General features: G+C 39.8%; 1 protein-coding gene across 1 annotated transcript in view, besides 2 other annotated features; it reads right to left on the minus strand.

The window, feature by feature from the left end:
* NEXMIF (neurite extension and migration factor) overlaps window positions 1-25357 on the minus strand; it is a 192597-nt gene that overhangs the window by 126293 nt on the left and 40947 nt on the right. The window lies entirely within an intron of this gene.
* Window positions 18942-19485: an enhancer, noted in NCBI's record as "H3K4me1 hESC enhancer chrX:74097925-74098468 (GRCh37/hg19 assembly coordinates)". NCBI's record gives its function as "activates a minimal SCP1, AML or CMV promoter by ChIP-STARR-seq in naive H9 embryonic stem cells {active_cell/tissue: H9 hESC(naive)}" and the evidence as "EXISTENCE:reporter gene assay evidence [ECO:0000049][PMID:30033119]".
* Window positions 19486-20029: an enhancer, noted in NCBI's record as "H3K4me1 hESC enhancer chrX:74098469-74099012 (GRCh37/hg19 assembly coordinates)". NCBI's record gives its function as "activates a minimal SCP1, AML or CMV promoter by ChIP-STARR-seq in naive H9 embryonic stem cells {active_cell/tissue: H9 hESC(naive)}" and the evidence as "EXISTENCE:reporter gene assay evidence [ECO:0000049][PMID:30033119]".

Raw genomic sequence — 25357 nt, forward strand, 5'->3', positions numbered from 1 at the left:
CCAAGTACGAGAAGGTTATAGAACACCCAACAGATTTTACCAAAAGAATACCTCAAAGCATTTAGTCATCAAACTTCCAAAGGTCAGGGATAAAGAAGGATCCGAAAAGCAGCAAGAGAAAAGAAACAACACACAATAAAGCTCCATTACATCTTGCAGCAGACTTTTCGGTAGAAACCTTACAGGCCAGGAGAGAGTGGCATGAAATATTTAAAGTGATGACAGAAAATAACTTTTACCCTAAAATAGTATATCCCGTGAAAATTGCCTTCAAACATGAAGGAGAAATAAAGACTTTCCCACACAAACAAAAGCTAAGAGATTTCATCAATACCAGACCTGTATACAAGAAATGCTAAATGGAGTACTTCAATCAGAAAGAAAAGGACATTAATGAGCAATAAATAATCACTTGAAGGTACAAAACTCACTGGTAATAGTAAGTATACTGAAAAACTAGAATATTATAACACCATAACTGTGGTGTGTAAACTACTCTTAAGTAGAAAGGCTAAACAATGAGCCAATCAAAGATAATAACTACAACAACTTTTCAAGACACAATACAATAAGATATAAATAGAAACAACAAAAAGTTAAAAAGCGGGAGGATGAAGTTAAGGGGTAGAGTGTTTATTAGTTTACATTTTGCTTGCTTGTTTGTTTATGGAAACAATGCTATGTTGTTGTCAGCTTAAAAAGCCTCGTGGTAACCTCAAATCAAGTAACATATAATTGATACACAAAAAATAAAAAGAAAGGAATTAAATAACACCACCTAAGAAAATTACCTTCACCAAAAGCAAGACAGGAAGGAAAGAAGGAAGAAAGAGAAGGCCACAAAACAACCAGCAGAGAAGTAACAAAATGGTAGAGTAAGTTCCTACTTATTGATAATAACATTGACTGTAAATGGACTAATCTCTCCAGTCAGAAGATAAGGAGTGGTTGAATAAATTTTTAAAAAGGCCCAATGATCTATGACCTACAAGAAACATACTTCACCTATAAGAAAGTCAGTATAAAATGATAAAGGGTTAATTCAACAAGAGGATATACCAATTTTAAATATATATGCACTCAATACTGGAGCACCCAGATATATAAAGCAAATATTATTACAGCTAAGGAAAGAAATAGACTCCAATACAATAAAATCTAGAGACTTCAACAAATCACTTTCAGCATTGGACATATCTCCCAAACAAAAAACGAACAAAGAAACATCTGATTTATTCTGCACAATAGACCAAATGGCTCTAACAGATATTTACAGAACATTTCATCCAATGGCTGCAGAATATATATTCTTTTCTTCAGCACATGAATATCATTCTCAAAGAGACCATATGTTAGGTCACAAAACAAGTCTTAAAACATTCAAAAATTGAAATTATATCAAGCATCTTCTCCACCACAATGGAATAAAACTAGAAATAAATAAGAATAATTTTGGAAACTATACAAACACATGGAAATTAAACAACATGCTCCTGAATGACCAATGGTCAATGAATAAATTAAGAAAAAATTCAAATATAGAGTGAAAACAAATGATTATGGAAATACAACATATAAAAACCAATGAGATATAGCCAAAGCAGTGCTAAGAGGGAAGTTTATAGCTATAAGTGTGTACATCAAAAAAGAAGAACAACTTCAAATAAACAACCTAATGATGCATCTTAATGAACTAGAGAAGAGCAAACCAAACCCAAAATTAGTAGAAGAAAAGAAATAAGAAAGATCAGAGCAGAAACAAATGAAACTGAAATAAAGAAAACAATAACAAAAGATCAACAAAACCAAAACCTGGCTATTTGAAAAGATAAATGAAACTGACAAACCTTTAGTTAGAATAACTCAGAAAAAGAGAGAACGCACAAATAAACAAAATCGGAGCTAAAAAAGGATGTCCTAACCCAAAGCAAAGATGCTAAGAACGATGATAAAACATTATAAGAGCTGTTAACCAGAATAACCAGTTTAAAGAGGAACACAAATAACTTGATAGAGCTGAAAACACAACATAAGAACTTCATAATGCAACCACAAGTATCAGTAACTGAATAGACCAAGTAGAAGAAAGAATTTCAGAGCTTGAAGACTATCTTGCTGAAATAAGACAGGCAGGCAAGATTAGAAGAAACAGAATAACAAGGAATGAACAAAACCTCTGAGAACTATGGGATTATGTAAAAAGACTGAACTTACGACTAATTGGGGTACCTGAAAGAGACAGAGACAGAACGGAAATAAGTTGGAAAACATACTACAGAATATCATCCAGGAGAACTTCCACAACCTAACAAGACAGGCAAACATTCAAACTCAGGAAACCCAGAGAAACCCAATAAGATACTCCATGAGAAGATCAACCCCAAGACACATAATCATCAGATTGTCCAAGTTCAAAATGAAAACAAATGTTAAGGGCAGTCAGAGAGAAAGGCCATGTCACCTACAAAGAGAAGTCCATCAGACTAAGAGTGGATCTCTCAGCAGAAACCCTACAAGCCAGAAGAGATTGGGAGCTAATATTCAACATTCTTAAAGAAAAGAATTTCCAACCCAGAATTTCATATCTGATCAAACTAAGCTTCATAAGTGAAGAAGAAATAAAGTCCTTTTCAGACAAGAAAATGCTTAGGGAATTCATCACCACCAGACCTGCCTTGCAAGAACTCCTGAATGAAGCACTAAATATGAAAAGGAAAAATCAATACCAGCCACTGCAAAAACACACTGAATTACAAAGACCAATGACACTATGAAGCAACTACATCAACAAGTCTGCAAAATAACCAGCTAGCATCATGATGAAAGGACCAAATTCACACATAACAATATTAACCTTAAATGTAAATGGACTAATGCCCAAATTAAAAGACACAGAATGGTAAGCTGGGTAGTCAAGACCCATTGCTTTGCTGTATTCAAGAGACCCATCTCACGTGCAAAGACACACATAGGCTCAAAATAAAGGGATGGAGGAAAATTTACCCAGCCAATGGAAAGCAGAAAAGACAGGAGTGACAATCCTAGTTTCTGACAAAACAGACTTTAAAACGACAAAGATAAAAAAAGACAAAGAGGGACATTACATAATGGTAAAGGGATCAATTCAACAAGAAGAGTTAACTATTGTAAATATATATACACCCAATACAGAAGCACCCAGATTCGTAAAACAAGTTCTTAGAGACCTACAAAGAGACTTACACTCCCACACAATAATAGTGGGAGACTTTAACACCCCATTGTCAATATTATACAGACCATCGAGACAGAAAATTAACAAAAATTTTCAGGACTTGAACTCAGCTCACCAAGTGGACCTGATACATATCTACAGAACTCTCCACCAAAACACAACAGAATATACATTCTTCCCTGTGCCACATGGCGTTTACTCTAAAATTGATCACATAAATGAAAGTAAAAAATTCCTCAGCAAATGCAAAAGGACTGATATCATAACAAACAGTCGCTCAGACCACAGCACAATCAAATTAGAACTCAAGATTAAGAAACTCACTCAAAGTCACACAACTACATGGAAATTGAACAACCTGCTCCTGAATGACTACTGGGTAAATAAAGAAATTAAGGCAGAAATCAAAAAGTTCTTTGAAACCAACGAGAACAAACAGATAACATATCAGAATCTCTGGAACGCAGCTAAAGCAGTGTTAAAAGGGAAATTTATAGCACTATATGCCCATATGAAAAAGCTAGAAAGCCAGGCACAGTGGCTCATGCCTGTAATCCCAGCAATTTGGGAGGCTGAAGTGGATGGATCACTTGAGGTCAGGGGTTTGAGACCAGCCTGGCTAACATGGTGAAACTCGGTCCCTACAAAAAAATACAAAACTTAGCCGGGTGTGGTGGCATGTGCTTGTAGTCCCCCCTATTCGGGAGGCTGAGGCATGAGAATCACTTGAACCCAGGAGGCAGAGGTTGCAGTGAGCTGAGTCCATGCCACTGGACTCCAGCCTGGGTGACAGAGCAGGACTACATCTCAAAAAAAAAAAAAAGTCTCCAATCAGCACCATAGCATCACAACTAAAAGAACTAGAGAACCAAGAGCAAACAAACTTCAAAGCTAGCAGAAGACAAAAAATAACCAAGATCAGAGTGAACTGAAGGAGATAGAGACACAAAAAACTGTTCAAACAATCAATGAATCCAGAGGCTGGTTTCTTCAAAAAAATAATAAAATAGATAGACCTCTAGCTAGACTAATGAGAGAGAAGAATCAAATAAACACAACAAAAATGATAAAGATATCACCACTGACTCCACAGAAATACAAAAAACCATCAGAGAATACTATTTAATATAAACACCTCTATGCAAATAAACTAAAAAATCTAGACAAAATGGATAAAATCCTGGACACATACACCCTCCCAAGACTGAACCAGGAAGGAGTTGAATCCCTGAATAGACCAATAACAAGTTCTGAAATTGAGGTAGTAATAAATAAAAGCCCAGGACAAGATGGATTTAGAGCTGAATTCTACCAAAGGTACAAAGTGGAGCTGGTACCATTTCTTCTGAAACTATTCTAAACAATTGAAAAGGAGGGACTTCTCCATAACTCATTTTATGAGGCCAGCATCATCTTGATACCAAAACCTGGCAGAGATACAATAAAAAAAGAAAACTTCAGGCCAATATCTCTCATGAACAGCAATGCAAAAATCCTCAGTAAAATACTGGCAAACCAAATCCAACAGCACATCAAAAAGCTTATTCACCACAATCAAGTCAGCTTCATTCCTTGGATGCAAGGCTGGTTCAACATAAGCAAATCAATAAACATAACTGATCACATAGACAGAACTAAAGACAAAAACCACATTGATTATCTCAATAGATGCAGAAAAGGCCTTCAATAAAATTAAACATCCCTTCATGTTAAAAACTCTCAATAAACTAGGTATTGAAAGGATATACATCAATATAATAAGAGCAATTCATGAAAGCTGGAAGCATTCCATTTGAAAACTGGCACAAGACGAGGATGTCCTCTCTCATCACTCCTACTCAATATCGTATTGGAAGTTCTGGCCAGGGCAATCGGTCAAGAGAAAGAAATACAGGGTATTCAAATAGGAAGAGAGGAAGCCAAACTGTCTGTTTGCAAATGACATGATTCTATATCTAGAAAACCCCATCGTCTCAGCCCCAAAGCTTCTTAAGCTAATAAGCAACTTCAGCAAAGTCTTAGTGATATGGTTTGGCTGTGTCCCCACCCAAACCACATCTTGAATGTAGCTCTCATAATCCCCATGTGGGAGGGACCCAGTTGGAAGTAATTGAATCATGGGGGCAGGTTTTTCCCATGCTGTTGTTATAATAGTGGATAAGTCTCAAGGGATCTGATGGTTTTATAAAGGGCAGGTCCACTACACATGTGCTCTTGCCTGCTGCCATGTAAGACGTGCCTTTACTCCTCCTTTGCCTTCCACTATGATTGTGAGGCCTTCCCAGCCATGGGGAACTGTGAGTCCATTAAACCTTTTTCCTTTATAAATTACCCAGTCTCAGGTATTTCTTTTTTTTTTTTCTGAGATGGAGTTTCGCTCTTGTTGCCCAGGCTGGAGTGCAGTGGTATGATCTTGGCTCAATGCAACCTCAGCCTCCTGGGTTCAAGCAATTCTCATGCCTCAGCCTCCTGAGTAGCTGGGACTATAGGCACCCACCACCACCTCCAGCTAATTTTTATATTTTTAGTAGAGACTGGGTTTCACCATGTTGGCCAGACTGGTCTTGAACTCCTGACCTCAGGTGATCTGCCCACCTTGGCCTCCTACAGTGCCAGGATTACAGGCATGAGCAACCATACCCGGCCATCAGGTATTTCTTCATAGCAGTAGGAAAATGGACTAATACAGTCAAATGGTACCAGTAGAGTGGAGTACTGCTATTAAGATACCTGAAAATGTGGAAGCAACTTTTGTACTGCTTAGTAAGTAGAGGTTGGAACAGTTTGGAGTGCTCATAAGAAGGTAGTAAGATGTGGGAAAGTTTGGAACTTCCTAGAGACTTGTTCAATGGCTTTGACCAAAATGCTGATAGTGATATGGACAATAAGATCCAGACTGAGGTGGTCTTAGATGGAGATGAGGAATTTGTTGGGAACTGGAGGGAAAGTGACTGTTGTTATGATTTAGCAAAGAGATGGGTGGCATTTGGCTCCTGCCCTAGAGATCTGTGGAACTTTGAACTTGAGAGAGATAACTTAGGGTATCTGGCAGAAGAAATTTCTAATCTGCAAAGCATTCAAAAGGAAGAAGAGCATAAAAGTTTGAAAAACTTGCAGCCTGCCAAGAAAAACCCATTTTCTGGGGAGAAACTCAAGCCTCCTGCAGAAATTTGCATAAATAACAAGGAGCTGAATGTTAATCACCAAGACAATGGGGAAAACATCTCCAGGCCATGTCAGAGACCTTCATGGCAGAGCCTCCCATCAAAGGCCTGGAGGCCTAGAAGGGAAAAATGGTTTCTTAGGTCAGGTCCAGGGCCCCTCTGTTATGTGCAGCCTAGGGACTTGGAGACCTGCATCCCAGCCTCTCTAGCCATGGCTAAAGTACAGCTTGGGCCATGGCTTCAGAGGGTTCAAGCCCAAAACCTTGGCAGCTTCCATGTGTTGTTGAGCTTGTGGGTACACAGAAGTTCAAGGATTGAGGTTTGGGAACCTCTGCCTAGATTTCAGTGGTGGTATGGAAATGCCTGGATGTCCAGGCAGAAGTTTGCTGCCGGGGTGGGGCCCTCATGGAGAACCTCTGCTAGAGAACTGTGGAAGGCAAATATGGGGTGGAAGTCCCCACACAGAATCTCCACTGGGGCACTGCCTAGTGGAGCTGTGAGAAGAGGGCCACTGTACTCCAGAACCCAGAATGGTAGATCTGCCGACAGCTTGCACCATGTTCCCGGAAATGCCACAGAAACTCAAAGCTAATCGGTGAAAGCAGCTGGGAGGGGGCTATATGCTTCCAAGCCACAGGGATGGAGCTGCCCAAGGCCGTGGGATCCCACTGCTTGCATCAGTGTGACCTGGATGTGAGACATGGGGTCAAAGGAGATCACATTGGAACTTTAAGGTTTAATGACAGCCTGATTGGATTTTGGACTTCCATAGAGCCTGCAGCCCCTTTGTTTTGGCCAATTTCTCCCATTTGGAAGGGGTGTATTTGCCCAATGCCTGCACACCCATTGTATCTAGGAAGTAACTAACTTGCTTCTGATTTTACAGGCTCATAGGTGGAAGGGACTTGTCTTGTCTCAGATGAGACTTTGGACTGTGAATTTTAAGTTAATGTTGGAATGAGTTAAGACTTTGGGGGACTGTTAGGAAGGCATTATTGGTTTCAAAATGTGAGAACATGAGATTTGGAAGGGGCCAAGGGTGGAATGATATGGTTTGGTTGTGTCCCCACGCAAATCTCATCTTGAATTGTAGCTCCCATAATCACCATATGTGGTGGGAGGGACCTGGTGGGACATAATTGAATCATGGGAGTGGGTTTTTACCATGCTGTTCTCATGATAGTGAATAAGTCTCAAAAAGCCTGTTGGTTTTATATAGGGCAGTTCCCCTGAACATGTGCTCTGGCATGCTGCCATGTCAGATGTGCCTTTGCTCCCCCTTCACCTTCCGCCATGATTGTGAGGCCTCCTTAGCCATGTGAAACTATTGAGTCCACTAAACCTCCTTGCTTTATAAACTACCCAGTCTCGGGTATGTCCTTATAGCAGCATGAGAAAGGACTAATACACTCAGAATACAAAACCAATGTGCAAGAATGACAAGCATTCCTATACACAAACAATAGACAAGGGGAGAAACAAATCATAAATGAACTCCCATTTACAATTACTACAGAGAATAGAATACCTAGGAATACAGCTAACATGGGAAGTGAAGGACCTCTTCAAGGAGAAATACAAACCACTGCTCAAAAAAATCAGAAAGGACACAAACATGAAAAAACATTCCATGCTCATGGATAGAAAGAATCAATATCATGAAAATGGCCACACTGCCCAAAGTAATTTATAGATTCCACGCTATTACCATTACACTACCATTGACATTCTTCACAAAAGTAGAAAAAACTACTTTAAAATTCGTATGGAACCAAAAAAGAGCCCGTATAGCCATGACAATCCTAAGCAAAAAGAGCAAAGCTGGAGGCATCACATCATGCCACCCAACTTCAAACTATACTACAAGGCTACAGTAACCAAAGCAGCATGGTACTGGTACAAAAACAGACACATAGACCAATGGAACAGAATAGAGATCTCAGAAATAAGACCACACATCTACAACCATCTGATCTTCAACAAACTTGACAAAAACAAGCAATGAAGAAAGGAATCCTTATTCAATAAATGGTGCTGAGATAACTGGCTAGCCATGTGCAGAAGATAGAAACTGGACCCCTTCCTTACACCATATACAAAATATGCTGAAGATGGACTAAAGACTTAAATGTAAAACCCAAAACTATATAAAACCTGGAAGACAACCTAAGCAATACCATTCAGGACTTGGACACAGGCAAAGATTTAATGACAAAGACATCAAAAGCAATGGCAACAAAAGTAAAAATTGACAAGTGTGATCTAATTAAACTAAAGAGCTTCTGCACAGCAAAATAAACTATCATCAGAGTGAAGAGACAACCTACAGAATGGGAGAAATTTTTTGCAATCTCTCCATCTGACAAAGGTCTAATATCCAGAGTCTACAAGGAACTTAAACAAATTTATAAGAAACAGAAAATCCCGTTAAAAAGTGGGCAAAGAACATGGACACTTCTTAAAAGAAGACACTCACATGGCCAAGAGACATGAAAAAAAGCTCAATAGCACTGATCATTAGAGAAATGCAAATCAAAACCACAATAAGATACCATCTTATGCCAGTCAGAATGGTGACTATTAAAAAGTCAAGAAACAACAGATACTGGTGAGGCTGTGCAGAAATAGGAACACTTTCACACTGTTGGTGGGAATGTAAATTAGTTCAACCATTGTGGAAGATAGTATGGCAATTCCTCAAAGACCTAGAAACCAGAAATACCATTTGACCCAGCAATCCTGTTACTGGGTATATACCCAAAGGAATATAAATCATTCTATTATAAACATACATGCAGGCATGTGTTAATTGCAGCACTATTCACAATAGCAAAGACATGGAATCAACCCAAATGCCCATCAGTGATAGACTGGATAAAGAAAATGTGGTATATATACACCATTGAATACTATGCAGGCATAAAAAGGAACAAGATTATGTTATTTGCAGGGACATGGATAGAGCTGGAAGCCATTATCTTCAGCAAACTAACACAGGAACAGAAAACCAAGCATCACATGTTCTCACTTATAAGTTGGAGCTGGACAATGAGACCACATGGACACAGGGAGGGGAACAACATGCACTGGGGCCTGTTGGGGGGTGGGGGGGAAGAAGAGCATCAGGATAAATAGCTAATACATGTGGGGCTTAATACCTAGGTGATGGGTTGATAGGTGCAGCAAACCACCAGGGCACATGTTTACCTATGTAACAAACCTCCCATCCTTCACATGTATCCCAGAGCTTAAAATAAAATAAAATTAAATTAAAATTAGAAAAAAAAGTAATGAGTTCGAAGCCATAATAAAAAGTCTCCCAGCAAAGCAAAGCCAATGACCCTGATGGCTTCACTGCTGAGTTCTACCAAACATTTAAAGAAGAACTAATACCAATACTACTCCAACTATTCCAATAAATAGAGGAGAAGAAAATACTTCCAATCTCATTGTACAAGGCCAGTATTACCCTGATACCAAAACTAGACAATGACACATCAAAAAAGAAAACTATAAAACAATATGACTGATGAATATTGATGCAAAAATCCTCAACAATATACTAGCAAAGTTCAACAAAACATTAAAAAGATCATTTATTATAACTGAGATTTATCCCAGGAATGAAAGGGTGGTTCAACATATGCAAATCAATCAATATCATACATTGTAGCAATAGAATACAGGACAAAAATCATGTGATCATTTCCATGGATGCTGAAAAAGCATTTAACAAAATTCAACATACCTTCATGATAAAAACCCTCAAAAAACTGGGGATAGAAGGAACATATGTCAAAATAATAAAAGCCATCTATGACAGACCAAAAGTTAGTATCATACTGAATGAGGAAAAATGGAAAGCATTTCCTCTAAGATCTGGAACATGACAAAGATGCCCACTATCACCACTGATATTCAACATATTACTGGAAGTCCTAGCTAGAGCAATCAGACAAAAGAAAGAACTAAAGGGCATCCAAATTGGAAATGAAGAAGTCAAAATATCCTTATTTCCAGATGATATGATCTTATATTTGGAAAAACTAATGACTCCACAAAAAACAATTAGAGCTGAAAAACAAATTCAGTAAAGTTGCAGAATATGCTATCAACATGCAGAAATCAGTCATATTTTTATATGCCAACAGCAATCTGAAAATGAAATAAAGAAAATAATTCCATTTACAATAGCTATAAATAAAATTAAATACCTAGGAATTAGCTTAACCAAAGAAGTGAAATATCTGTGCAATGAAAACTATACAACGTTGATGCAAAAAATTGAATAGGACACCAAAAAATGGAAAGATATATCCATGTTAATGGATTGCAAGAATCAATAATGTTAAAATGTCTATACTACCCAAATAAATCTACAGATCCAATGCAATCCCTATCAAAATACCAATGACATTATTCACAGAAATAGAAAAAAAAATCCTAAAGTTTATCTGGAACCAAAACAGACCCAGAATAGCCAAAGCTATCCTGAGCAAAAAGAACAAATCTGAAGGAATCACATTATATTAATTTCTCAAATTATACTACAGAGCTATAGTAACCAAAAGAGCACTGTATTGTCATAAAAAACAGATACATATATCAGTGGAACAGAATAGAGAACCTCAAGAAAATCCATACATCCACAGTGAACTCATTTTTGACAAAGGTGCCAAGAATATACATTGGAGAAAGGAGAGTATCCTCAATAAACGGTGCGGGGAAACTGGATATCCATATACAGAAAAAGGAAACTTGACCCCCCATCTCTCATCATATACAAAAATCAAATCAAAATAGATTAAAGACTGAAATCTAAGACCTCAAGCTATGAATCCACTAAAAACCTTGAGGAAACTCTCCAGGACATCAGTCTGTGCAAGGATTTCTAGAGTAATACCCCACAAGCACTGACAACCAAAGCAAAAATGGACAAATGGGGTCACATCAAGCTGAAAAGCTTCTGCACAGCAAAGGAAACAATCAACAAAGTGAAAGGGTAACCCACAGAACAGGAGAAAATATTTGCAAAATACCCATCTGACAAGGGATTAATAACCAGAATATATAAGGAGCTCAATCGACTTTACAGGAAGAAATCTAATAATCTGAATAAAAAATGGGCCATAGATCTGAACAGACATTTCTCAAAACAAGACATACAAATGGCAAACAGGTACAATGGCTCAACATCATCAATCATCAGAGAAATGCAAATCAAACTACAATAAGATATCATCTCACACCAGTTAAAGTGGCTTTTATCTAAAAGACAGGCAATAACAAATGCTGGTGAGAATATGGAGAAAAGGGAATCCTCTTACACTGTTGGTGGGAATGTATTATATATTAGTACAATCGCTATGCAGAACAGTTTGTAGGGTCCTCAAAAAACTAAAGATAGAGCTACCACAAAATCTAGCAATCCCACTGCTGGGTGTATACCCAAAAGAAAGGAAAATGGTACATCGAAGAGATATTGGTACTCCTGTGTTTATTGCAGCAGTATTCACAATAGCCAGGATTTGGATGCAACCTACCTGTCCATCAATAGATGAATAGATACAGAAAATGTATCGGGGGAACCAGCCCCCAATATTTCAATGTAGGTTCTTTTCTATTTTCCCTAAGTGTCGGCCGGTCTGAGAAATAAACAAAAAGAGTACAAAGAGAGAAATTTTATAGCTGGGCCTCCGGGGGTGTCATCACATATTGGTAGGACCATGATGGTGACCTCAAGCTGCAAAATCAGCAAGTTTTTATTAGGGATTTTGAAAGGGGAGGGGGTGTACGAACAGGGAGTAGGTCACAGAGATCAGATGCTTCAAAGGGCAATAAAAGATCAAAAGGCAGAGGCAAAAATTAGAATTACTGATGAAGGTCTGTGTCCCACTGTGCACACATTGTCTTGATAAACATCTTAACAGGAAACAGGGTTCGAGAGCAGACAACTGGTCTGACTAGAATTTACCAGGCTGGAATTTCCCAATCCTAGTAAGCCTGAGGGCACTGCAGGAGACCAGGGCGTATTTCAGTCCTATCTCAACCGCATAAGACAGACACTCCCAGAGCAGCCATCTATAGACCTACCCCCAGGAATGCATTCCTTCCTGAGGGTTACTCCATGCTGGGAAAATAATTCAGCAATATTTCTCCTACTCGCACATCCATCTATAGGCTTTCTGTGAGAAGAAAAATATGTCTCTATTCTGCTCGACCCCACAGGCAGTCAGCCCTTATGGTTATCTTCCCTTTTTCCCTGAAAATTGCTATTATTCTGTTTTTTCAGGGTGCACTGGTTTCATATTGTTCAAACACCCTTGTTTCACAATCAGATTTCATATTGTTGAAACACACATTTTACAAACAATTTGTACAGTTAACGCAATCATTACAGGGTCCTGAGGTGACATACATCCTCAGCTTACAAAGATAATGTGATTAAGAGATTAAAGACAGGCATAAGAAATTATAAGAGTATTAATTGGGGAAGTGATAAATGTCCATGAAATCTTCACAATTCACGTTCAGAGACTGCAGTAAAGACAGGCCTAAGAAATGATAAAAGTATTAACTTTGGAAACTGCTAAATGTCCATGAAATCTTCAAAATTTATGTTCTTCTGCTACAGCTTCAGCCGGTCCCCCCGTTCAGGGTCCCTGACTTCCCGCAACAAAAATGTGTTACATCTACATAATGGAGTGCTACTGGGCCATAAAAAGAATGAGATCCTGTCATTTGCAACAGCATGGATGGAACTGGAGGTCATTCTATTAAGTGAAATAAACCAGGCACAGAAAGACAAACTTCACATGCTGTCACTTATTTGTGGAAGCTAAAAATCAAAATAATTTAACACATAGGGATAGACAGCAGAAGGATGGTTATCAGAGGATGTTAAGGGTAGTGTGTGGGTGGGGGGTGGTGGGGGGAAATGACAGTTAGTGGTTACAAAAAATCAGAAATAATGAATAAGACCTAGTATTTGCTAGCACATCAGACTGACTATAGTAAAAAGTAATTTACTATAGTCACTTAGTAAATATAGTAAATATTGTGACTGTAGTAAATTATGTTTTACTACAGTCACAATATTTACTATATTTAAATGTACATAATTATACATTTTAAAAATAACTAAAACAGTATAATTAAATTATAACACAAAGGATAAATGCTTGAGGTGATGGCTAGCCCATATACCCTGATGTGGTTATTACCCACTGCATTCCTGTATCAAAATATCTCATGTAACCCATAAACATATACATACCTACTATGTGTCAACAAAAATTTAAAAATAAACAATTTTTTAAAAATATTATAATGGAGTAGAAAAATACCTGTCACCTACTGACACACTAGCTGCCATAATGCTGTAGTGCAATGCCTTATTTTTTTATTTTTTATTTTTTTAGTTTTTATTTTTTTTAAAATTGTTTTGGTTTTTTTTTAATTAATTAATTTATTATTATTATACTTTAAGTTTTAGGATACATGTGCAAAATGTGCAGGTTCATTACTTATGTATACATGTGCCATGCTGGTGCGCTGCACCCACTAACTCGTCATCTAGCATTAGGTATATCTCCCAATGCTATCCCTCCCCCATCCCCCAACCCCACAACAGTCCCCAGAGTGTGATGTTCCCCTTCCAGTGTCCATGTGTTCTCATTGTTCAATTCCCACCTATGAGTGAGAATATGCGGTGTTTGGTTTTTTGTTCTTGTGATAGTTTACTGAGAATGATGATTTCCACATTCGTCCATGTCCCTACAAAGGACATGAACTCATCATTTTTTATGGCTGCATAGTATTCCATGGTGTATATGTGCCACATTTTCTTAATCCAGTCTATCATTGTTGGATGTTTGGGTTGGTTCCAAGTCTTTGCTATTGTGAATAATGCCACAATAAACATACGTGTGCAAGTGTCTTTATAGCAGCATGATTTAAAGTCCTTTGGGTATATACCCAGTAATGGGATGGCTGGGTCAAATGGTATTTCTAGTTCTAGATCCCTGAGGAAACACCACACTGACTTCCACAATGGTTGAACTAGTTTACAGTCCCACCAACAGTGTAAAAGTGTTCCTATTTCTCCACATCCTCTCCAGCACCTGTTGTTTCCTGACTTTTTAATGATTGCCATTCTAACTGGTGTGAGATGGTGATCTCATTGTGGTTTTGATTTGCATTTCTCTGATGGCCAGTGATGATGAGCATTTTTTCATGTGTTTTTTGGCTGCATAAATGTCTTTTTTTCAGAAATGTCTGTTCATGTCCTTCACCCACTTTTTGATGGGGTTGTTTGTTTTTTTCTTGTAAATTTGTTTGAGTTCATTGTAGATTCTGGATATTAGCCCTTTGTCAGATGAGTAGGTTGCAAAAATTTTCTCCCATTTTGTAGGCTGCCTGTTCACTCTGATGGTAGTTTCTTTTGCTGTGCAGAAGCTCTTTGGTTGAATTAGATCCCATTTGTCAATTTTGTCTTTTGTTGCCATTGCTTTTGGTGTTTTAGACATGAAGTCCTTGCCCATGCCTATGTCCTGAATGGTAATGCCTAGGTTTTCTTCTAGGGTTTTTATGGTTTTAGGTCTAACGTTTAAGTCTTTAATCCATCTTGAATTGATTTTTGTATAAGGTGTAAGGAAGGGATCCAGTTTCAGCTTTCTACATCTGGCTAGCCAGTTTTCCCAGCACCATTTATTAAATAGGGAATCCTTTCCCCATTTCTTGTTTTTCTCAGGTTTGTCAAAGATCAGATAGTTGTAGATATGTGGCATTATTTCTGAGGGCTCTGTTCTGTTCCATTGATCTATATCTCTGTTTTGGTACCAGTACCATGCTGTTTTGGTTACTGTAGCCTTGTAGTATAGTTTGAAGTCAGGTAGCGTGATGCCTCCAGCTTTGTTCTTTTAGCTTAGGATTGACTTGGTGATGTGGGCTCTTTTTTGGTTCCATATGAACTTTAAAGTAGCTTTTTCCAATTCTGTGAAGAAAGTCATTGGTAGCTTGATGGGGATGGCATTGAATCTGTAAATTACCTTGGGCAGTATGGCCATTTTCACGATATTGATTCTTCCTACCCATGAGCATGGAATGTTCTTCCATTTGTTTGTGTCCTCTTTTATTTCCTTGAGCAGTGGTTTGTAGTTCTCCTTGAAGAGGTCCTTCACATCCCTTGTAAGTTGGATTCCTAGGTATTTTATTCTCTTTGAAGCAATTGTGAATGGGAGTTCACTCATGATTTGGCTCTCTGTTTGTCTGTTGTTGGTGTATAAGAATGCTTGTGATTTTTGTACATTGATTTTGTATCCTGAGACTTTGCTGAAGTTGCTTATCAGCTTAAGGATATTTTGGGCTGAGACGATGGGGTTTTCTAGATATACAACCATGTCATCTGCAAACAGGGACAATTTGACTTCCTCTTTTCCTAATTGAATACATTTTATTTCCTTCTCCTGCCTCATTGCCCTGGCCAGAACTTCCAACACTATGTTGAATAGGAGTGGTGAGAGAGGGCATCCCTGTCTTGTGCCAGTTTTCAAAGGGAATGCTTCCAGTTTTTGTCCCTTCAGTATGATATTGGCTGTGAGTTTGTCATAGATAGCTCTTATTATTTTGAAACATGTCCCATCAATACCTAATTTATTGAGAGTTTTTAGCATGAAGGGTTGTTGAATTTTGTCAAAGGCCTTTTCTGCATCTATTGAGATAATCATGTGGTTTTTGTCTTTGGTTCTGTTTATATGCTGGATTACATTTATTGATTTGCGTATATTGAACCAGCCTTGCATCCCAGGGATGAAGCACACTTGATCATGATGGATAAGCTTTTTGCTGCGCTGCTGGATTTGGTTTGCTGGTATTTTATTGAGGATTTTTGCATCAATGTTCATCAAGGATATTGGTCTAAAATTCTCTTTTTTGGTTGTGTCTCTGCCAGGCTTTGGTATCAGGATGACGCTGGCCTCATAAAATGAGTTAGGGAGGAGTCCCTCTTTTTCTATTGATTGGAATAGTTTCAGAAGGAATGGTACCAGTTCCTCCTTGTACCTCTGGTAGAGTTCGGCTGTGAATCCATCTGGTCCTGGACTCTTTTTGGTTGGTAAGCTATTGATTATTGCTACAATTTCCGAGCGTGTTATTGGTCTATTCAGAGATTCAACTTCTTCCTGGTTTAGTCTTGGGAGAGTGTATGTGTCCAGAAATTTATCTATTTCTTCTAGATTTTCTAGTTTATTTGTGTAGAGGTGTTTGTAGTATTCTCTGATGGTAGTTTGTATTTCTGTGGGATCGGTGGTGATATCCCCTTTATCATTTTTTATTGTGTCTATTTGATTCTTCTCTCTTTTTTTCCTTATTAGTCTTGCTAGTGGTCTATCAATTTTGTTGATCCTTTCAAAAAACCAGCTCCTAGATTCATTAATTTTTTGAAGGTTTTTTTGTGTCTCTATTTCCTTCAGTTCTGCTCTGATTTTCATTATTTCTTGCCTTCTGCTAGCTTTTGAATGTGTTTGCTCTTGCTTTTCTAGTTCCTTTGTGATGTTAGGGTGTCAATTTTGGATCTTTCCTGCTTTCTCTTGTGGGCATTTAGTGCTATAAATTTCCCTCCACACACTGCTTTGAATGTGTCCCAGAGATTCTGGTATGTTGTGTCTTTGTTCTCGTTGGTTTCAAAGAACATCTTTATTTCTGCCTTCGTTTCATTATGTACCCAGTAGTCATTCAGGAGCAGGTTGCTCAGTTTCAATGTAGTTGAGCGGTTTTGAGTGAGATTCTTAATCCTGAGTTCTAGTTTGATTGCACTGTGGTCTGAGAGACAGTTTGTTATAATTTCTGTTCTTTTACATTTGCTGAGGACTGCTTTGCTTCCAAGTATATGGTCAATTTTGGAATAGGTGTAGTGTGGTGCTGAAAAAAATGTATATTCTGTGGATTTGGGGTGGAGAGTTCTGTAGATGTCTATTAGGTTCGCTTGGTGCAGAGCTGAGTTCAATTCCTGGGTATCCTTGTTGACTTTCTGTCTCGTTGATCTGTCTAATGTTGACAGTGGGGTGTTAAAGTCTCCCATTATTAATGTGTGGGAGTCTAAGTCTCTTTGTAGGTCACTCAGGACTTGCTTTATGAATCTGGGTGCTCCTGTATTGGGTGCATATATATTTAGGATAGTTAGCTCTTCTTGTTGAATTGATCCCTTTACCATTATGTAATGGCCTTCTTTGTCTCTTTTGATCTTTGTTGGTTTAAAGTCTGTTTTATCAGAGACTAGGATTGCAACCCCTGCCTTTTTTTGTTTTCCATTTGCTTGGTAGATCTTCCTCCATCCTTTTATTTTGAGCCTATGTGTGTCTCTGCATGTGAGATGGGTTTCCCGAATACAACACACTGATGGGTCTTGACTCTTTATCCAATTTGCCAGTCTGTGTCTTTTAATTGGAGCATTTAGTCCATTTACATTTAAAGTTAATATTGTTATGTGTGAATTTGATCCTGTCTTTACGATGTTAGCTGGGTATTTTGCTCGTTAGTTGATGCAGTTTCTTCCTAGTCTTGATGGTCTTTACATTTTGGCATGATTTTGCAGCAGCTGGTACAGGTCGTTCCTTTCCATGTTTAGCGCTTCCTTCAGGAGCTCTTTTAGGGCAGGCCTGGTGGTGACAAAATCTCTCAGCATTTGCTTATCTGTAAAGTATTTTATTTCTCCTTCACTTATGAAGCTTAGTTTGGCTGGATATGAAATTCTGGGTTGAAAATTCTTTTCTTTAAGAATGTTGAATATTGGCCCCCACTCTCTTCTGGCTTGTAGAGTTTCTGCTGAGAGATCTGCTGTTAGTCTGATGGGCTTCCCTTTGAGAGTAACCGACCTTTCTCTCTGGCTGCCCTTAGCATTTTTTCCTTAATTTCAACTTTGGTGAATCTGACAATTATGTGTCTTGGAGTTGCTCTTCTCGAGGAGTATCTCTGGGGCGTTCTCTGTATTTCCTGAATCTGAACGTTGGCCTGCCTTGCTAGATTGGGGAAGTTCTCCTGGAGAATATCCTGCAGAGTGTTTTCCAACTTGGTTCCATTCTCCCCGTCACTTTCAGGTACACCAATCAGACGTAGATTTGGTCTTTTCACATAGTCCCATATTTCTTGGAGGCTTTGCTCGTTTCTTTTTATTCTTTTTTCTCTAAACTTCCCTTCTCGCTTCATTTCATTCATTTCATCTTCCATCACTGATACCGTTTCTTGCAGTTGATCGCATCGGCTCCTGAGGCTTCTGCATTCTTCACGTAGTTCTCGAGCCTTGGTTTTCAGCTCCATCAGCTCCTTTAAGCACTTCTCTGTATTGGTTATTCTAATTATACATTCTTCTAAATTGTTTTCAAAGTTTTCAACTTCTTTGCCTTTGGTTTGAATGTCCTCCCCTGGCTCGGAGTAATTTGATCGTCTGAAGCCTTCTTCTCTCAGCTTGTCAGTCATTCTCCATCCAGCTTTATTCCATTGCTGGTGAGGAACTGTGTTCCTTTGGAGGAGGAGAGTCGCTCTGCTTTTTAGAGTTTCCAGTTTTTCTGTTCTGTTTTTTCCCCATCTTTGTGGTTTTATCTACTTTTGGTCTTTGATGATGGTGATGTACAGATGGGTTTTTGGTGTGGATGTCCTTTCTGTTTGTTAGTTTTCCTTCTAACAGACGGGACCCTCAGCTGCAGGTCTGTTGGAGTACCCGGCCGTGTGAGGTATGAGTCTGCCCCTGCTCGGGTGTGCTTCCCAGTTAGGCTGCTCAGGGGTCAGGGGTCAGGGACCCACTTGAGGAGGCAGTCTGCCCGTTCTCAGATCTCCAGCTGCGTGCTGGGAGAACCACTGCTCTCTTCAAAGCTGTCAGACAGGGACATTTAAGTCGGCAGAGGTTACTGCTGTCTTTGTGTTTGTGTGTGCCCTGCCCCCAGAGGTGGAGCCTACAGAGGCAGGCAGGCCTCCTTGAGCTGTGGTGGTCTCCACCCAGTTCAAGCTTCCTGGCTGCTTTGTTTACCTAAGCAAGCCTGGGCAATGGCAGGCGCCCCTCCCCCAGCCTCGCTGCCACCTTGCAGATTGATCTCAGACTGCAGTGCTCGCAATCAGCGGGACTCCGTGGGCGTAGGATCCTGCGAGCCAGGTGCAGGATAGAATCTCCTGATGCGCCGTTTTTTAAGCCTGTTGGAAAAGCGCAGTATTCGGGTGGGAGTGACCCGATTTTCCAGGTGCCGTCTGTCACCCCTTTCTTTGACTAGGAAAGGGAACTCCCTGACCCCTTGCGCTTCCCGTGTGAAGCAATGCCTTGCCCTGCTTCAGCTCGCGCATGGTGCGCGCACCCACTGACCTGCGCCCACTGTCTGGCACTCCCAATGAGATGAACCCGGTACCTCAGATGGAAATGCAGAAATCACCCGTCTTCTGCGTCGCTCATGCTGGGAGCTGTAGACCGCAGCTGTTCCTATTCGGCCATCTTGGCTCCTCCCTCGCATTATTTTTTATCTTTTTATATATGTTTGCACACACAAATACCACTGTGTTACAATTTTCTACAGTATCCAGTACAGTAACATGCTGTGAGGTTTGTAGCCTAGGAGCCATAGGCTATACCACATAGCCTAAGTGTGTAGTAGGCTAAATCATCTACGTTTGTGTAAGTACACTCTATGATGTTGGTACAAGGGTTAAATTTCCGAAGAACACATTTCTCAGAAAGTATTCCTATTTTTAAGTGATGCATGACTGTATTGAATAATAGCCAAACTTTCAAAATTTGATGACAAACATTAATCTACACATCCAAGGAGCTCAACAAATTCCAAGTAGGATAGATTCAAAGAGATCCACACCTGAACACGTTATAATTATCATCTATGATGAATTCATCTGGAATTATTTTATTTATATGTTAATGTAAGAATTAGAGAAAAGAGGTTACTGAGAATAAAGCAAAGAGAAAAATAAAGGGGAAAAGTTAATACATTTGGACAATTTGTCATCATTTAAAGATCAAGGCTGTGGTATTTAATATACAAGAACACCTGGAAGCAAATTTCAGGAAAGGTGTACAAAGCATACATAGTAAAGACCACTCCCATTTCAAGAATGTACTGACATTTGGAATGGGGGTCTGAAACTGAGCTGTTGCCGAACACTGGTCTTAACATTTATAGGCCACCTAATTGAACTATTCACTTTTCAGAATGTTTTCCTTTGTGGACTATTTGATATAATTACTTCATATTTTCTTTTTAACCTCACTATGACTTTCCATAGTCTGTTGACATATATAGGTGAACCTCAGTTAAAAAAATCATAATAAAACACTCAAACTTGATAGAAAATATTTTAAAATCACCTAACGCTTGGGATTATTTGTACTACTGCTTTTTTCCATTGTCATCGATAATGGGGAAATGATCATACATTGATACTCAAACGCATTCTCTAATTAACATACCAATGACATATCCCCAATATTATGTATACATGTATAAACTCGTAAGTACTCACCATTGAACTGTATCACATTTGCTAATGGCTGCCAGGCTCAACCATACCTCCTGACCTTTAGGAACTTAAATGCATCTATTTCCAATGGCATAGTTTTTATGTAAGTCACTCTATAATTAGAGGACTACTCATTTCCACATCACCTTACGTTACACTTATTGTGAATAAACACTCTCTACACCCCAGTGGAGAAACTCCACACAAAGTCAGAGGGATGAGCAAAGGAGAGGTGGAAATCAAACATAACTTCCACAGACAGACTGAACCACCCTCTTTCACCAGCAATGGAACTCGTAGCTCAGCATTGTGCCACTCATGAATTTCATGTGACTTCATGATGATGGCCTAAGAGAAGAGGGAAGGAGGAAACTGGGGCCAGTTTTCCAGGACTTTACCAACACCTGCCCTTGGTTATAACATTTGGTAATTCTCAGAGCCCCACCCCTACATTACAAACGTTACAATTCTGTGCACCATAAGTAGAGGCTTTACAAGGGTTCACAATTACTTTAGGGCCACAATGAATGCAAGCAATTGTTATCCCAGTCTTTGTTTCTACTCAAATACCAGCATTTTGGTAAAGCCTAATGGAATGAGCATCACTTGTTATCTCTAATGTCAAAGTTGAAGATTAATCACCATTAGTCAATGGAAATTAGGTGTAGAAAAGAAATTATTTATCATACAAAATGAAAGGGGCTTGAATTGGAGCCAAAATACAAAACTGCAAACACATACCCAGATGCTCAGACATTCCTTCTGCACATCAAATGGCTGTACTTCTTCTTCCCATATACACTGCTCTCTCCTTAGATCCCTCACATTCCCAACATCAGTGACTGGGTTTGTCACAGTATCCTTTGACACATAAGAAATATGACAGTTGGAGAAGAGCCTAAACAACGATCATGAACACTGTCCCTCATCCTTCATCTCAGCTCCACCTATTTAAAAGAAAGAACCCAAGCCATCCTCAAACCCCAAAAGCACTTCTGCAGACAGCTTTGAGGCACTTCTCGCCAGATGTATGCCCTAAAACTGACAGTAACCCCTGCTGCTCACTCCTCAAGTAAGAATTGAGGCCTATAAAGTTTGGAAATTGCTAGAGAAAAGAAAGATAGAGACAAAAAGACACACCCAGGTGAGTGTTGGCAGATGTTTCTGTGTTTTCAGGCATGTGTGCTGTACCTACAACCTTTGGGGAGCCTGGTACCCCAAGTGAATCTCCCCTCAAGTTCACTGTAAAGCACAATCATTTCTTCATAGCACAGTGATACTCTTAAGGTACTCTGAGGGCTTTCCTACATTTACTTAAATGGATAAATTCCAACACACACACACACATACACATGCACACACACACACACACACACACACACACACAGAGCAAATACAGGGGAAAAAGGCAGAGACTAAATACAAATAATTCTCTGAGACCCAGGCTTCTTCACTTAAACCAGTGTTTCTCAATCCAGGTACTGTTGACATCTTGGGTCAGGTACTTCTTTTTGTATGTGTGGTGTAGGGAAGAGCTGCCCTGTGAATTTTAGGAGGTTTGGAAGCATCTGTGTCCTCTACCCATTAGAAGCCAGTAGCACCCCCCAACCCACTTGTGACTAAAAATGTCTCCAGGCATTGCCAAATGTCCTAAATGGCAAAATTCTCCACCATGAGAACCATGGCCTTAGACCAAAAACATTCCCACAGCCTGGCTCCAATCAGCATGTAAATTGCCACATTACAAAAATAGATGCAGAATTAACCAGTTTCACTTAGCAGTGCTTCTAGTACACAGTCAAGGAGGAGGTTATGGGTTTTCACGACTAGAAGTCCCTCTGAGCAACAGGAAAGGGCCTCTGCCACCTAGTAGTGAGTCTTTTCCGTGATGGTCTAATCTAGGATTGTTGAAATCTAGGATTTCAACATAGTCTCCCATGTAGTGTTCAAACACAAAGTGACCCAGTTGGGCCCTTCCATGTGTGATTTCCTGCCAAACCATTTTGCACACTTCCTCTCTCAGCAAATTTTCATATTTGCTAAGAAAATTCCTATTCACAATAGCAAAGACTTGGAACCAACCCAAATATCCATCAATGATAGACTGGATAAAGAAAATGTGGTGGGGTGGAGCCAAGATGGCCGAATAGGAACAGCTCCGGTCTACAGCTCCCAGCGTGAGCGACGCAGAAGATGGGTGATTTCTGCATTTCCAACTGAGGTAACGGGTTCATCTCACTGGGGAGTGCTGGACAGTTGGTGCAGGACAGTGGGTGCAGTGCACCGTGCGTGAGTCGAAGGAGGTCAAGGCTTCGCCTCACCCGGGAAGTGCAAAGGGTCAGGGAATTCCCTTTCCTAGTCAAAGAAAGGGGTGACAGACGGCACCTGGAAAATCGGGTCACTCCCACCCTAATACTGTGCTTTTCCAACGGGCTTATCAAACAGCACACCAGGAGATTATATCCCACAACTGGCTCGGAGGGTCCTACGCCCACGGAGCCTCACTCATTGCTAGCACAGCAGTCTGAGATCAAACTGCAAGGTGGCAGTGAGGTTGGGGGAGGGGCGCCCACCATTGCTCAGGCTTGAGTAGGTAAACGAAGTGTCCAGGAAGCTCGAACTGGGTGGAGCCCATCACAGCTCAAAGAGGCCTGCCTGCCTCTGTAGGCTCCACCTCTGGAGACAGGGCACAGAAAAACAAAAGACAGCAATAACCTCTGCAGACTTAAATGTCCCTGTCTGACAGCTTTGAAGAGAGTAGTGGTTCTCCCAGCATGCAGCTTGAGATCTGAGAATGGGCAGACTGCCTCCTCAAGTGGGTCCCTGACCCCTGAGTAGCCTAAATGGGAGGCGCCCCCTAGTAGGGGTGGACTGACACCTCACACAACTGGGTACTCCTCTGAGACAAAACTTCCAGAGGAATGATCAGGGAGCAGCATTTGCGGTTCACCAATATCCGCTGTTCTGCAGCCACCACTGCTGATACCTAGGCAAACAGGGTCTGGAGTAGACCTCCAGCAAACTCCAACAGACCTGCAGGTGAGGGTCCTGACTGTTAGAAGGAAAACTAACAAAAAGAAAGGACATACACACCAAAAACCCATCTGTACGTCACCATCATCAAAGAACAAAGGTACATAAAACCACAAAGATAGGGAAAAAAACAGAGCAGAAAAACCGGAAACTCTAAAAATCAGAGTGCCTCTCCTCCTCCAAAGGAAAGCAGCTCCTCACCAGCAACGGAAGAAGCTGGATGGAGAATGACTTTGACGAGTTGAGAGAGGAAGGCTTCAGAAGACCAAACTACTCCGAGCTAAAGAAGGAAGTTCGAACCAATGGCAAAGAAGTTAAAAACTTTGAAAAAAAATTAGATGAATGGATAACTAGAAAAACCAATGGAGAGAAGACCTTAAAGGACCTGATGGAGATGAAAACCATGGCATGAGAATTACGTGACGAATGCACAAGCCTCAGTGACCAATGCAATCAACTGAAAGAAAGGGTATCAGCGATGGAAGACGAAATGAATGAAATGAAGTGTGAAGAGAAGTTTAGAGAAAAAAGAATAAAAAGAAACAAACAAAGCCTCCAAGAAATATGGGACTATGTGAAAAGACCAAATCTACGTCTAATTGGTGTATCTGAAAGTGACGGGCAGAATGGAACCAAGCTGGAAAACACTCTGCAGGATATTCTCCAGGAGAACTTCCCCAATCTAGCAAAGCAGGCCAACATTCAAATACAGGAAATACAGAGAACGCCACAAAGATACTCCTCAAGAAGAGCAACTCCAAGACACATAATTGTCAGATTCACCAAAGTTGAAATGAAGGAAAAAATGTTAAGGGCAGCCAGAGAGAAAGGTTGGGTTACCCACAAAGGGAAGCCCATCAGACTAACAGCGGATCTCTCTGCAGAAAATCTACAAGCCAGAAGAGAGTGGGGGCCAATATTCAACATTCTTAAAGAAAAGAATTTTCAACCCAGAATTTCATATCCAGCCAAACTAAGCTTCATAAGTGAAGGAGAAATAAAATTCTTTACAGACAAGCAAATGCTGAGAGATTTTGTAACCACCAGGCCTGCCCTAAAAAGCTCCTGAAGGAAGCACTAAACATGGAAAGGAACAACCAGTACCAGCCACTGCAAACACATGCCAAATTGTAAAGACCACCCAGGCTAGGAAGAAACTGCATCAACTAATGAGCAAAATAACCAGCTAACATCATAGTGACAGGATCAAATTCATACATAACAATACTAACCTTAAATGTAAATGGGCTAAATGCTCCAATTAAAAGGAACAGACTGGCAAATTGGATAAAGAGTCAAGACCCATCAGTGTGCTGTATTCAGGAAACCCATCTCACGTGCAGAGACACACATAGGCTCAAAATAAAGGGATGGAGGAAGATCTACCAAGCAAATGGAAAACAAAAAAAGGCAGGGGTTGCAATCCTAGTCTCTG

This window comes from Homo sapiens, chromosome X (assembly GCF_000001405.40).
Source record: "Homo sapiens chromosome X, GRCh38.p14 Primary Assembly".
Lineage (NCBI taxonomy): Eukaryota > Metazoa > Chordata > Mammalia > Primates > Hominidae > Homo > Homo sapiens.